Source organism: Homo sapiens, chromosome 18, assembly GCF_000001405.40.
Source record: "Homo sapiens chromosome 18, GRCh38.p14 Primary Assembly".
NCBI classification, from domain to species: domain Eukaryota; kingdom Metazoa; phylum Chordata; class Mammalia; order Primates; family Hominidae; genus Homo; species Homo sapiens.
Window position 1 is genome coordinate 77,217,796 of NC_000018.10, and position 14,258 is coordinate 77,232,053.

Sequence of the window (14,258 nt, forward strand, 5' to 3'; positions counted from 1 at the left end):
GATGAGCATAAGAAAATAGCAAATCCAGTCAGAAGAGAATGAAAAGCTGCTATCACAAAGATCATTAGCAAGAGGCCTGTTTTGACATTTAATATACGAGTATTATATGTATATTAAATATCCTGAAATATTAAGACAGCCTTCATTAAGGAGGGGGAAGAAGACAGACTGCAAAATTAGAAAAATAAAAAAGAGAGAAATCTTCCCAAGCAGGCACCATGTGTAGTAAGACATTGTGAATTTGTGGCAAGATAGGTAATTTCAAAGTGAATAAATGAGAACCAATATGATTTATTAATTCAAACCCTATGAATTTGCCAATATTCAAACTTTTTAAACCATAGAAATTATACTTTTATACAATTTGATCTAACAGACTCTGGTACAAATATAGCCACATGAAAAAATAACTTTGTGAGCACTTACCAACTCAAAGTATGAGAAAGTCAAAGTGATTTTCCTCTTGGAGCTCCGTTTTAGTCCTAATTATTATTTATTTATATTTATATTTATATTTTTTTGAGATTTTCTTGTTGCCCAGGCTTGAGTGCAATGGCACAACCTTGGCTCACCGCAACCTCCGCCTCCTGGGTTCAAGCGATTCCCCTGCCTCAGCCTCCCAAGTAGCTGGGACTACAGGAATACACTACCATGCCTGGCTAATTTTGTATTTTTAGTAGAGACAGGGTTTCTCCATGTTGGTCAGGCTGGTCTCGAACTCCCAACCTCAGGTGATCCGCCAGCCTTGGCCTCCCAAAGTGATGGGATTACAGGCGTGAGCTACCGTGCCGGCCTACTCCTAATTTTGAAAGGTAAGAGCTTCACTGCCCAAAGGAGTCAGTTATGCTTCCAAAGGCTTGCAGAGGTGAGGGAGACCTATGGAGGCCAAGCTACTCAATGGTGGCCCTGGTCTGGACAGCCGTGCTGTGATCTTCTCTTTGGGGCCCAGCTCAATGCTCGATACCTTGCTGCTCTGGTCCCCACACAGGCTGTGGTGATGCTTCCTGTTGGCTTCCTATGGTGAAACCTCCTCTGTTCACCCTGACAGACCTTCCCTTCCTCCCAAAGCCTGGCAGTCCTGCTGTGGTGGTTGCAGCCTTCACTGCTGGCCACGTGCTCTGAATCAACAGCCCCCATGGGCTCATTCACACTGAGCTGTGTCTGGGTCGCTGTATGGGGTCCTCCTGGCAGCCCTGGTGCACTTTCCTACTGACAGATCTCAGTAAAGATCTGTGAATGCTGCAATTCTAAAGGAAGGTATTGGAGGACTCTTAATACTCATCTTAGTATTAATGAAAATTAATGAAGACATTGTGATAATGGTGAAGGATGGTCATAACGATGCATGGAACAGAACAGGTTCAGGGATAGACTATACATCTATTGATTATTTGATAATGGTAACAAGGTTACTCAAAAAAGAAATGATAGAGTTTTTAACAAGTGATGCTGGAACAGTTGGGATTTCATATATAAAAAAAGAACCTCAGCTTATATCTTGTACAATACACAAATATTTACTTGACATAAATCATAATTCTTACTATAAAGCCACAGACTAAAAAGCTCTAGAAAAAAACATGTAAGAAAATCTTTGTGACCTTTGGCCAAGCAAGTATTTCTTAGATAAGATACAATAAACATAAACTATAACAGAAAAGCACTGATAAGTTGAATGACCTTCATCAGAATTTAAAAACTTCTGCTCTTTGTAAGGCACTGTTAAGGCAACAAAAGGATAAACAATAGGCTGGGAGAAAACATTTGCAAAACACGCATGTGATGAAAAAGACTCCAGTAATCAGAAGATGTATGGAACTTTCACAAAATAATACAAAAACAAACAAAAAAATGGGACAGCGGCAAAGATTCGGACAGTTCACCAAATAAAAAGCATCAATGCTGAATGAACACATCAAAAGATGCTCAAAGCCATTAATCATTAGACAAATTCAAGTTCGAACCAAAAGGAGATAACACTACACATAAATGAGAATGGCTTAAAAAAATGCCAGTACAAAATGGCAGTGCTGATGAGGACGTGGGGCCACTGAAAGCCTCATCTGTTACTGGTGAGAATGCAGCATGGTGCAGTCACTCTGGACGAGTTTGGCAGTTTCTTATAAAGTTAGTCATATGGATACCACTTAACCCCATAATACAACTCCTAGGTATTTACCTAAGATAAATAAAAACATACATCTACACCAAGACCCACGTACAAATGTCTATAGTCCCTATTTTTATAATCAGTTCAAACCAGAGTATCTCAAACATCCACCAGCCTGTGAACAGGTAAACAAATTGTGGTACATCTACACAGTGGGATGCTACATAGCAATAAAAATGAATGAATCGCAGACACAGGCAACAGTGTGGATGAAAAAGTCATTATGCTGAGGGAAGCTAGGTGCAAAGGCTGCATACTGTATGATTCTATTTATATGATATTCTAGAAAGATAAAACTGTATAATCCAAATCAGATTAGCACCTGCCAAGAGCTGGAACTGGTGGGAGTGGCTATTTGTGGATTTAAGGGGACTTTTCTGTGATGGAAATTGTCCATGTTGGTTATGGTGGTCTCACAACTGCATCCTTTTGTCAAAGCTTATAAAACTCTACACATAAAAAGGGCGAATTTTTCTACATATAAATTATATGTAGAAATGGCTGGGCACAGTGGCTCAAGCCTGTAATCCCAGCACTTTGGGAGGCTGAGGCAGGGGGATCACCTGGGGTCAGGAGTTCAGGACCAGGCTGGACAACATGGCAAAACTCTGTCTCTACTAAAAAATACAAAAATTAGCCAGGCGTGGTGGTGGGCGCCTGTAATTCCAGCTTCTCGGGAGGCTGAGGCAGGAGAATCGCTTGAACCCGGGAGGCAGAGGTTGTGGTGAGCTGAGATCACGCCACTGTACTCCAGCCTGGGGGACAGAGCGAGACTCCATATATTAAAAAAAAAAATTGTACCTTAGTAAGCCTAATATTAAAAAATAAAAGAGGGGAGAGATTTATTTATTGGCTTCTTTCTTCTATTCTATACAAACGTACCCACCTTTCCCTTAGCAGCCAGGTTTTCACAGTGAATAATGTGGGAGGGTCACAGAGAGAACTGTTACTTCCTGCCCTCAAACCAATGGTTGTTGACTAAACTCAATTTATATTTGCACAAGTAAGAAGCACCACTAGAGGCTTCCCCAGGACACAGCTTCCCAGCTACAGTGCCTGTGAGCAAGAAACAACCAAAGCAATTAGGTGGTCTGGCCAGTTCCTCTGGCAAGAACAGCTGAGGTGTCTTATAAAAGTGATCATAGTTTCACGTGTGCCAGAACATGAGCAGTTAGGAGGTACAGTAAGATCTTTGTAGGATGCTGTAACATTTTGCAGATTCTTCATATACTTGAATTTCATCCATCCATCAATGCATCCACCATCTGCATATTTATTCATCTGCAAATCCATCCACATATTCATTTATTCATTCATCTGTCATACACCCACCCACCCACCACCCACCTATCCATCCACCCATCCATGCATTCCATCCATCCATTCATCCATCCATCCATCCATCCATCCATCCATCCATCCTTCTGCATATCCATTTATTTATCTGCAAATCCATCCACATATCCATTTATCCATTCACCCATCATCCACCCACCCACCACCCACCCATCTATCCACCCATCCATGCATTCCATCCGTCCATCCATCCATCCATCCATCTGCATATCCATTTATTCATCTGCAAATCCATCCATATATCCATTTATCCATTCATCTATCATCCTTCCACCCACCACTCACCCAATCCATCCATCCATCCATCCATCCATCCAGCATATAGTCAATGAGCACTTAGAGTGCCAGATATTCTGTTAGACACTGAACAAAGCAGTAAATAAGTTTAGAAATGTCTTATTCTCAATCTAGAGGAGCATTTCAACAAATATGCCGGAAATCCAGTGTCGTAGGTTCTTTGATGGAAAAAGTAGAGATGGTATGGAAGAATATGATTTGAGTACTTAACTCAGACCCAGGCTAAGAGAATGCTTCCTGAAGTCATGTCTTATAAACCAAGATTTGAAGGATCACTGGAAATGAGTAAGGCAAGGACACAGTCTATGCAAAATCTGGAAGGTTAAAAAGTGTATGATAAGTTGGAAAAACAGAAAGAAAAATATGGCACATCAGCGCTGTTTGTGTGGGGTATGTCTGGGGGTTAAGGTTGATGGAGGCAAGCTGAAAGTTGAGGCCTGGGGACTAAGATGAACTTCATCTTGAGGACAAGAAGGCTTAATGCAAGAGAATGTTCTATGTTTTTAGGAAAATCACTCTTACCTTGGGGGAGGAATTGAATTAGAAAGGGGATAAAACTGGAAACGAGAAAATAAATTTAGAGCCATATTTGAAAGTAATGAAACAGAGTTTCTTTGAAAATGGTTTGCACATCATTTTTAAAAACCAATTCAAAGTGTATTAATCAATTATGTATATTTACCATGGACAATCTATAATAAAATATTAGGTCTGTAACAAAATCTTCAGTCTCTGTAACGTTGGAGTTGGCTTTTAGTGTCCCTGAGATAGCATTACTTACAGCTACTTCTGGGCAGGCATTACTTTGCAAGGATTTGTAGATAAGTCCAGTGCCACAGTTTATTAGGGTTAGACCATGGTGAAAGGCTGAAGAAACAAATCTTAATTTATCAGAGGTAGAAATATCTTCAGATTATTTATATGCTCACCTTAGAAGGGGACAAATTGAATATTCCCCTTTAGTGGTAGTACTTCTCAAAGCTATTGCAGAAGCGTTAGTTGCTTTGGTTAGAAGGCGTGTTGCCAGCACAGCAGATGGGTGGCAGTGTCTGGATTTAGCTTTCCTCCCCTTACCTAGCATGAGCAAACAGCACTGTGACGTCAAAGGAATCAGAGTATTGTTAGAGAGTCAGATATGTTTAATATTGCAAATGTCATTTAGAAGGTATGTAATGAAATTTAATTTTAATTGTATTATACACTTTGACCTATCCCAGTTATAACAATTACAATTTTATCTTAAAAACATTACACTTGGGATAATTGTGGAGTCATATAGTCATACTTAGAATATGTTAGAACATATTAGATATTGGCTAATATCCTAGATATTAAATAACATTAAAATAACTTCATAATTACTAGGTCATTGTTTCTTCTTAAGAATTTCTTTGTGGTAGTTAGATTTAACAAACCGATTCAATTGTGTAAGCTGTGGTCAGATGGAATAAAATGGAAAGGGATATTCAAGAAATTAACTCTCTTAAAAAAGGAATGAGGTAAAATAGCTCCTTTGATCATTGGCTCTACAAGTTTGGTCCCTGGACCAGCAGCGTCACAATCCCCCAGAAACACACTAGAAATGCCCATTGCGAATCTGCTGAAGTGCTCCCCCACCCCGACAACCCCAACCTGCTGAATCAGAGCCTCTGGGGGTGGCCCAGCAATCTACATGTTAGCAGGCCTTCCAGGAAGTCCTTAGAGACTCAGTGCCTAGGTTTTTACCTGGGCTGATCATGGGGGCAGCCTCTGCCTGGCATGGACTGAAATTCCAGACTCAAAAGCAGGTGTTTAGCATACATCATGTTGTTTGCAGAAGCAGTTTAGGTACAGTGAACACCACCTTCGTCCGTTAATAGCGGTGGGGACCCTCCCCAAACCCAAGTTCCCAGATGCCAGACAAGAACCAACCCAGTAAGCGGGTCTTTCCAACCACAGCAGTCAGGCCTGAAATGTTAACTCTTTTCCACACAGTCATACAGGTGTCATAAAATGAGCTGGCAGGATTTCTTCCTTTTCTATTTTGGAAATAATTTGTGAAGAATTGTTATTATTTCTTTTCATATTTTGGGAGAATTCAAAAATTCAGGACTGGGATTTTCTTTGTGGGTAGTTTTAATTATTAAATGTAATTACTAATAAACTTAATTACTCTCTCTTTGTTATAGGTCTAATCAGATTTTCTGTTTCTCCCTGAGTCAGATTTGGTGGTTTTTGCCTTTGTAGGAATTTCTTCATTTCATATGAGTCATCTAATTTCTTGTCACACAGTTGTTTATAGCATTCTCTTAGATCCACCCCCCCCTCCCCCCGCCTTTTTTTTTTTTTTTGCAATGTTGTCTTCCAGAAGAAGTTTGGAGCTGTAATTGCAACAAAATTTGATTGGATCTGTGTTGAGGTTATAGATTAAATTTGGGATAATTACTACAGCGTATTTACAACTTTGGTCTTCATTGCTGCCTATTGTCTGTTTACACAACCTGTCTATATACTTTGTATAAACAGGAAGCATCTACTTAATCTTTGATTAACTCATAGGAAAGTTATTTATTTTTTATGTTAACCTTATGCTGAACTAACATTATGAAGTCTTTAATTTTTATAAATATTTAGTGTTTTCCTCTAAAACTTTAGACAATAACTCCATATACATAAAAATGACAGTTTTCTTCTCCTTTCCAGTGTATTGTAGCTTTTCTCTTAACTTCTTGCTATATTCTACTAATGGCAATGAGAGTGTTTCATTAATTGTCTTCTTTTTTTGTCCAGAGGTCATTTTTGCCTTCCTTTATCTGGTAGAAGTATTTCAGGAAGTTTTGTATTTCTCTTTGCTCCAAAAGAGTTTAAATTATAAAAGAAAAAAAAAATGGTGAGTTCCCTGTGAGCATGATACCTTGTCTGATGTTTTAGCGTCATGCAGAGTGTGCACAGAGCATTTCATTTTCTCCTTGTTGTGATGTGCTTGCTCATATGTTCCCTCTCTTTCCAAGTAAAGAAAGGCTGGAAAACTGCATTTTCCTATTACCTCTATTTTTTCAGCATGATAGGTATAAAGTTGTAAATTCTGCCTTAGAATTCCCATACCACCTTAAAATTTCCTTCTTATTTGTTAATTTCATTACTCACTTGCTTTTGTATCTTATTTTTTTTCACATAATATTGAGGATATTTATTTCAGACCTTAAAAAGACTAAACCGTATTCCATTTTATTAAACTGCTCTTTAAAAAATTCACAGCAAATAAATGGATTAGTTTGTAATTTTCACCATACTAATTAGATCTTTGATAAACATTATTTTTTTTTTTTTTGAGACAGAGTCTGGCTCTGTTGCCCAGGCTGGAGTGCAGTGGTGCAATCTCGGCTCACTGCAACCTCCGCCTCCCAGGTTCAAGCAATTCTCCTGCCTCAGCCTCCTGAGTAGCTGGGACTACAGGTGCGTGCCACCATGCCCGGCTAATTTTTTGTGTTTTTAGTAGCGATGGGGTTTCACCATGTTCGCCAGGCTGGTCTCGATTTCCTAACCTTGTGATCCACCTGCCTCGGCCTCCCAAAGTGTTGGGATTACAGGTGTGAGCCACTGCACCTAGCCTTTTTTTTTTTTTTTTAGAGCAAGAGTTTTTATTGTTGTTGTTGTTTTCTTTTTTTTAACTTTTAAGTTCAGGGGTACATGCATGGGTTTGTTATATAGGTAAACTTGTGTCATGGGGGTTTGTTGTACAGATTATTTCATTACCCAGGTGTTAAGCCTAGTACCTATTCATTATTTTTCCTGATCTTCTCACTCCTCCCACCCTCCACCCTCCTATGGGCCCCAGTGTGTGTTGCTCCCTTCTGTGTGTCCATGCGTTCTCATCACTTAGCTCTCACTTATACGTGAGAACATGCGTTATTTGCTGGTGAGGCTATAGAGAAAAAAATGCTTATACACTGTTGGTGGGAGTGTAAATTAGTTAAACCATTGTGGAAGACCATGTGGCAATTCCCCAAAGACCTAAAGACAGAAATACTGTTCAACCCAGCAATCTCATTACTGGGTATATACCCAGAGGAATATAAATTGTTCCATTACAAAGACACATGTACGTGCTATGTTCATTGCAGCACTATTCACAATAGCAAAGAAAATGCTGTCAATGATAGACTGGATAAAGAAAATGTGGTACATATACACCATGAAATACTATGCAGCCATTAAAAAGAACAAGATCATGTCCTTTGCAGGGACATCGATGGAGCTGGAGGCCATTATCCTTTGCAAACTAAGACAGGAACAGATAAACATGCTTAATAATAAATCTTTGTGTGTATTATTGACTTTTATCCTTAGAATTAATTGCTGTAATTGTAATTGCTGTGCTAAAAAGGAGTAATCGTATAACTTTTGGTATATTTTGACAATTTGACTTCCAGAACACTTGCTCCATTTTGCTCTCCTAGCAATTTTAGAGCTCCTATTTATCTAAATTACTGACAAATTTGGTTTTTTTCTTTCCTGGTAAATTTGATGGTGAAAATTTGTGTTATGTTATTTTTCTGTGTAATAACACACAAAATAATGTTTGGTAATACTGCTTGTGGTACATTTCTGATTTCAATGAGAATATCTTGTGTTTGGCTATGTAGTATAATGTCTCTTGCTCTTACATATGTTCTTTATCATGCTAAGGAATGTTATTAGGTCTTTTAAAATAAGAAATGGAGATTTATTTTTACTACAACCTTTAAAAAATCTTAGTCATTATATTATTTTTATTGATGTAATGAATTAGATTAAACTGTTTCTAGTTATTAAACAAACCATTCTTGGATTACAGTAATAAGCCTAACTTACTGTGGTTGATCAATAAGCATTTGTTTGACAAACATTTTTGAACAAATCATCGTTTTCTATAACACAGGATTGCATTTGCTTCTAAGTTACTAAGGTTTGCTGTATTAATGTTATGTAGGGAGGCCGAGCGAACGTTTTGATGTTGTCTTTGTACGTTTTGGTGGTGGAGCAACACCATGACTTAGATGCTGCTATTTTCATCCCCATTTTGCCAATGAAGAAACTGATGGATATGGGGTTTAAATGACTTCCTCGAGGTCTCTCAGATGTAAAGGGCAGAGCTGGGGTGGAATCTAAATGGTCAGAGTCCGGGTTCCATGCTTTTATCCTCTGCATTGTAAGAGCAGAGACAAATGGTCTGTAGGGAAGACGAGCCTTCTCTGTGCACTACGGTAGGCAAGCTGCGTTACTAAAAAGACAACGCTCCAAGAATTCACCACGCAAGTTCTTTCCCTTAGACATATTTTCCATCAATTGTTTAAAATTATGCCATGGTAGAGTTTTAATTTTCTCCTGTAAATTTCTGGTTGTGTTTTTTCTCTTTTATTGACAAGAAAAAAATATATATCTCACACATCCTCACATGTGTCCAGAATCGAACTTGTAGTAGCTTGGCATTATATCCCTGTTTCATGAATAATACACTGTAGCCCTTTATAACATCCTCAGTTAGTTTTACAAGAAAGGGTGCAGTTTCTGCATTATTCCGTAGTTGAAGGTGTCTTTATTTAAGACTTACTGTGATTGATAGCTTGTTTGGGCGTAGAGTAGGTTCAAATCAGTCCCGTGTGTTGCTGGAACCACGGTCAAGGCGGGTCGTTTTCTCGGTCACACACCGGAGGCGTCTTCTTCTCCCCGGAAGCTGCCATTTTCTCTCCCTGTTCTCAAATTTCTTCAGAATGTTTCTGGATGTGAATCTTTTAAAATTTATCTTGTCTCTAAGTGAATGTTTTGATTCTCAAAACTTCCGTTCATCTTTAGATCTGTGGAGGAAGTCTCTTCTATTATTATTTTTTTTTGAGACAGGGTCTCGCTCTATCTCCCACGCTGGAGTGCATGTCGCCATCTCTGCTCACTGCAGCCTCAGCTTCCCAGGCTCAAGGGATTCTCCTCCTTCTATTATTTCTTTGGCAATTTCTTCATCTCTTTTTTTCTCTTCCGAGGTCTGCTGTTAGTCAGTTGGGGGATGACACAGATGGTGCCTTCACGCTATGTCTCTTGTCTTTCTTATTCTTCTTGTCTTTTTTTTCTCTTCCATTCTGGGATACCTCCCTCACTCTATTTTTTAGAAAAGTTATAAGCATATTTTAGACTCCAAAACCCTTTTTGTCCTCTGATTATTCCATTTTAGAGCATATTGATTTTATTTTGTGAAAGTAATATCTTCCTGAGTATCTTAGAATGTTAACTAATATTATTTTCTTTCTGTTCCCTGAGTTATCTCTGTCTTTTTTTCCTGTCAGTTTTTATTCATCTTTCTCTTCCATATTACCCCGTTGTCTTTACATGGCTGATGATCTTTGATGACGCGTTTACACTGGATTGCTTCTTCGAGACTGTTTGATGAGTGTAGGGAGTGCCAATTTCTCAATCTCATTATACTTGTTTTTTCTTTACTCAAACTCAAGTTGAGACGAGCTTGGCCAGTGCATGTGAGGCTCTAGGCCCCTTATCTCTGTCCCTGTTGTGATAATATGTTTTTTCTGGCATATCCACATAGGTCCTCAGAGCTTTTAATCTGGTTCTGAATTTATCTTAAGTTTTCCCTATGGCATTTATTGGGATGCATCATATTCTAACCATAATTTATGTTTCTTTCATACTTTGAGTTTATGAAGATTTTGACAATGAAAAATCCCAGCTTGCTTTTCTACCAAGTTATTTCAAACATTTTCACCAACCCACGAACTTTACCTGTGGAGGCTACACCATGCATGTTCATCATATCACATCCTTCTCTTTTTGTCTCAATCTGCTCCTATTCATTTTCTAGATTTTAAAAGTCTGGAATCTGCTGTGAGTGAATAAGACAGATGGTGTTTAATGGCTAAAAGTAGTGAGAAGAGGGAGTACTGTTTTAAAGTACTATGGGGAATATCTGTCCATGTTTCTAGTTTGATTTACCTTTGTTTCTTTACATGAGGTGGGGCTGGGATTTATGAAGGCTCTGCCAACTCCACTTCCTTTTTAAGGTAGTTTCTATTTTTTGAGGCTGTTTTATAAAATCTTTAGGTTTATCTGCTTATTTTTATTTCCTTCAAATTTCTGAGATTAATTTGACTTGCCAGTCTTTATATCCAGTGCTGCTGAAAGTCTTACATTTTATAGCAATTTGGGAGAGACTTATTAGAGGCTGCAAATGAGATGCATCTTCTTTAATACTTTAAAAATTATTAGCTATTTGCTAGAAACACACAATCTTGAATGTCAAAATTGATCATGCTATTTATTCATCTAAGTTATTATACTGGAATTTGTTCTGAAATAGAAATGCTCCTGTTGCCTCTGTAAACTGGCTTGTAAAACCTATGAAGAAGAAATGAAGGGGGAAGATTTAGAGAGCAGATTCTGATAAACTGAGCAGAAAGAAACTAAAAGAATATAGTAATTATCTTCAGAACTCAAATCCCTTATAATTATTGGGATTTGGCTTTGACTATATAATTTAGTTTGGGAATTATTAATAAATCATTTCTGTTTAACTTGAAAGAGTTTAACTTTTTAATAATGGTAGAATAAAGAGGCAATATTGACATAAATATTTAAAATTGATTGAAAACTTTATTTTTCCTAGTGACATGTTATCTTTTATCTATTGGACTAAAACTAACATCACAGAATGAAAATGGAGAACTTTGAATAATATGAACATCTTTGAACTATTTCTCAATCAAGTACTTGGAAAAGTAGCGTTTGTCATAGGGTGCAGCTGGTAAAACCACAGGTGATGTATGTGAAGCCTTCGAAAGATACCTTATCCCCATGTTCTTGTTCTGTTCCTTTCACTAAGGTCTAGAGTATCGTGAGAGGAATGAATTACTTCCAGTGACTTTACCACTTTTAAAAAAACCACCCATATTATTATTGGTCAAATTTAATACTGACTTAATGCTAGATTAGTCACTACTATTGTTATCATTTAAAAACTGCTTTGCATTATACGGGTTATATATTATTAGGTCATATCTTCACAGTCATAAACAATGTCAATTCCACATCAACATTATTAAGGTGGGACTATTACCTTCATCTTAGTCTCATTATTATTTAAAAATTTCCACAAGTGTCCCTTGGAAATATCTATCATTTGTCCTATATCATATGGACATATGGATAAGGAATTGATCTAAATATCCAGGAGACTAGAGTAGATTAAATAAATTATAATAATTTATATAATGAGCAGTTATACAGATGAAAAAATAATAAGGTATGGCTCCATTTGTTGATGGTCAAGAAATATTACTAAGTGAAAAAGAAGCAAAATCCACATCTTTGTATAAGCTATCATCTGATTCATGCAAATAAAAAATATATATATGCTACATATTTATATATAAGGGACTATATGCATGTAATTTTTTCTCAAATGATACTTGTCAAACAATCTTAGTGATTGTTTTTTCGGGAAAGGTAAAGACTAGAGGAGGGAAACTTTTATCCCCAATTTTAAAATATAAGTTGCCTTTTTTTGAACAGTTCTTCACTGCTGATGGGAATGTAAACTAGTGTAATCACTGTGGAAAACAGTGTGGAGATCCTTAAGGAACTAAAAGGAGAACTACCATTTGATCCAGCAACCCCACTTCCAGGTATCTGCCCAGAGGAAAAGAAGTCATTATATGAAAAAGATACTTGCACAGGCATGTTTATAGCAGCAAAATTGACAATTGCAAAAATATGGAACCAGCCCAAATGCCTATCAATCAACCAGTGGTTGAGGAAATTGTGGTATATACATATATATATGATGGAATACTACTCAGCCATAACAGGAACAAATGAATGCCATTCGCAGCAACCTGGATGGAACTGGAGACCATTATCCTAAGTGAAGAAACTCAGGCATGGAAAGTCAAACATCACATGTTCTCACTCATAAGGGGGAGCTAAGCTGTGAAGATGCAAAGGCATATGATTGATATAATGGACTTTAGGGACTTGGGGAAAATGGTGGGAGGGGGTGAGGAATAAAAGGGATAAAAGACTACAAATTGGGTTCAGTGTATATTGCTCAGATGATGGGTGCACCAAATTCTCACAAATCACCACTAAAGAACTTTACTCATGTAACCAAATACCAACTGTTCCCCAAAAACCTGTGGAAATAAAAAATTTTTAAAAAGTGAAAAAAGTTGCCTTTTTTTTCAGTGACGTAATGTACATTCATGATGTTGTGTAATCATCCCACTGTCTATCTCTGGAACTTTTTCATCTTCCCAGACTGAACCTCTCTATCCCTTAAACAATGACTCTTCACTCCTATCTCTCCCCAGACCCTGGTAACCTGTGTTCTGCTTTCTGTCCCTATGAATTTGCCTATTCTAGACACATTCAGTTTTATACCTTCCATTATTATCTGAATTTTCTGATCATGTGCATGTGTTACTTTCATTTGTTACAAAATGTCAACATGGGTTATCAGGTAAAAGGATTATGGGCCGTTTTTATTTCCCACTTAGAGTTTTCTGTTTTAAAATAACCCTAATAAATGTTCTTGTATATGATCTCATGGAGGAAGAGGTAACTGATATGCCTGGGGGAGAAAGAGCTGAGGTACCATTTCTTTTAAGATACAGGAAACCTTCATTTGTATGTAATTCCCAATGATACTCTGTTGCCCTATTAAACAGTTACTGGCAACAGCATGAAGAGAGGTTATTATTGCATTAATATGCATGAATTAATTAAGTTGAACTTTATTGTAGCAAGCTGGTTAGAACGTTAGGTCATGATACATTTATTTAATAGCTTTTGATAAAATTGTTAAACTATTTTAATAAGTAAAAAGATTTGATATATTAAATTAGCAGAAAATAATAGAAATTGTCATTTAATTTTTGATGGCATAATTGCCATGGGCTATAAAAACCATTTATAAAATTATTACACTTCTAAAGATATTTATCCTAAGGAGATAAACTATCACAAGAAAAAATTTCCATAAGAATAAATGTTGTGACCTTGCTTCCAATATTTTATGATTGTAAGTGATCTAAATATTTAACAATAGGAAAACGACTAAGTATGTTAACATATATCACTCAATAGATTAAAAATGATAGCTAACAAGAATATACAGTGATATCAGAAATTCTTCTTGGATTAAGCAAACAAAAGTAGGACAGTAATTTTATGGATACTATGTAATTATTCAAAAAGTCCACTGAAGTTGACATTTATTTAATCAACAATTACTTAATTGCCTGCTTCAGTAGTGTAATTTCATTTTCATCCTTCCCGGCCTGTTGGGAGCACTCAAGGTCATTGCCAACTGCCTGAGTGTGGAAGTTCTCTCCTCTGTCTCTGTCCCTGTCCACTCTTTCTCTTCCTTGCTCTCTTCCTGTGTGTATGACTGTCCCTTCTCAAGTCACTATTTTGG

General features: G+C 37.2%; 1 annotated feature.

Moving 5' to 3' along the window:
- Nucleotides 8,795-9,994: an enhancer, noted in NCBI's record as "MED14-independent group 3 enhancer chr18:74938546-74939745 (GRCh37/hg19 assembly coordinates)". NCBI's record gives its function as "activates an origin of replication core promoter dependent on BRD2, BRD4, P300/CBP and CDK7 cofactors, and independent of MED14, by STARR-seq in HCT116 cells {active_cell/tissue: HCT116}" and the evidence as "EXISTENCE:reporter gene assay evidence [ECO:0000049][PMID:35650434]".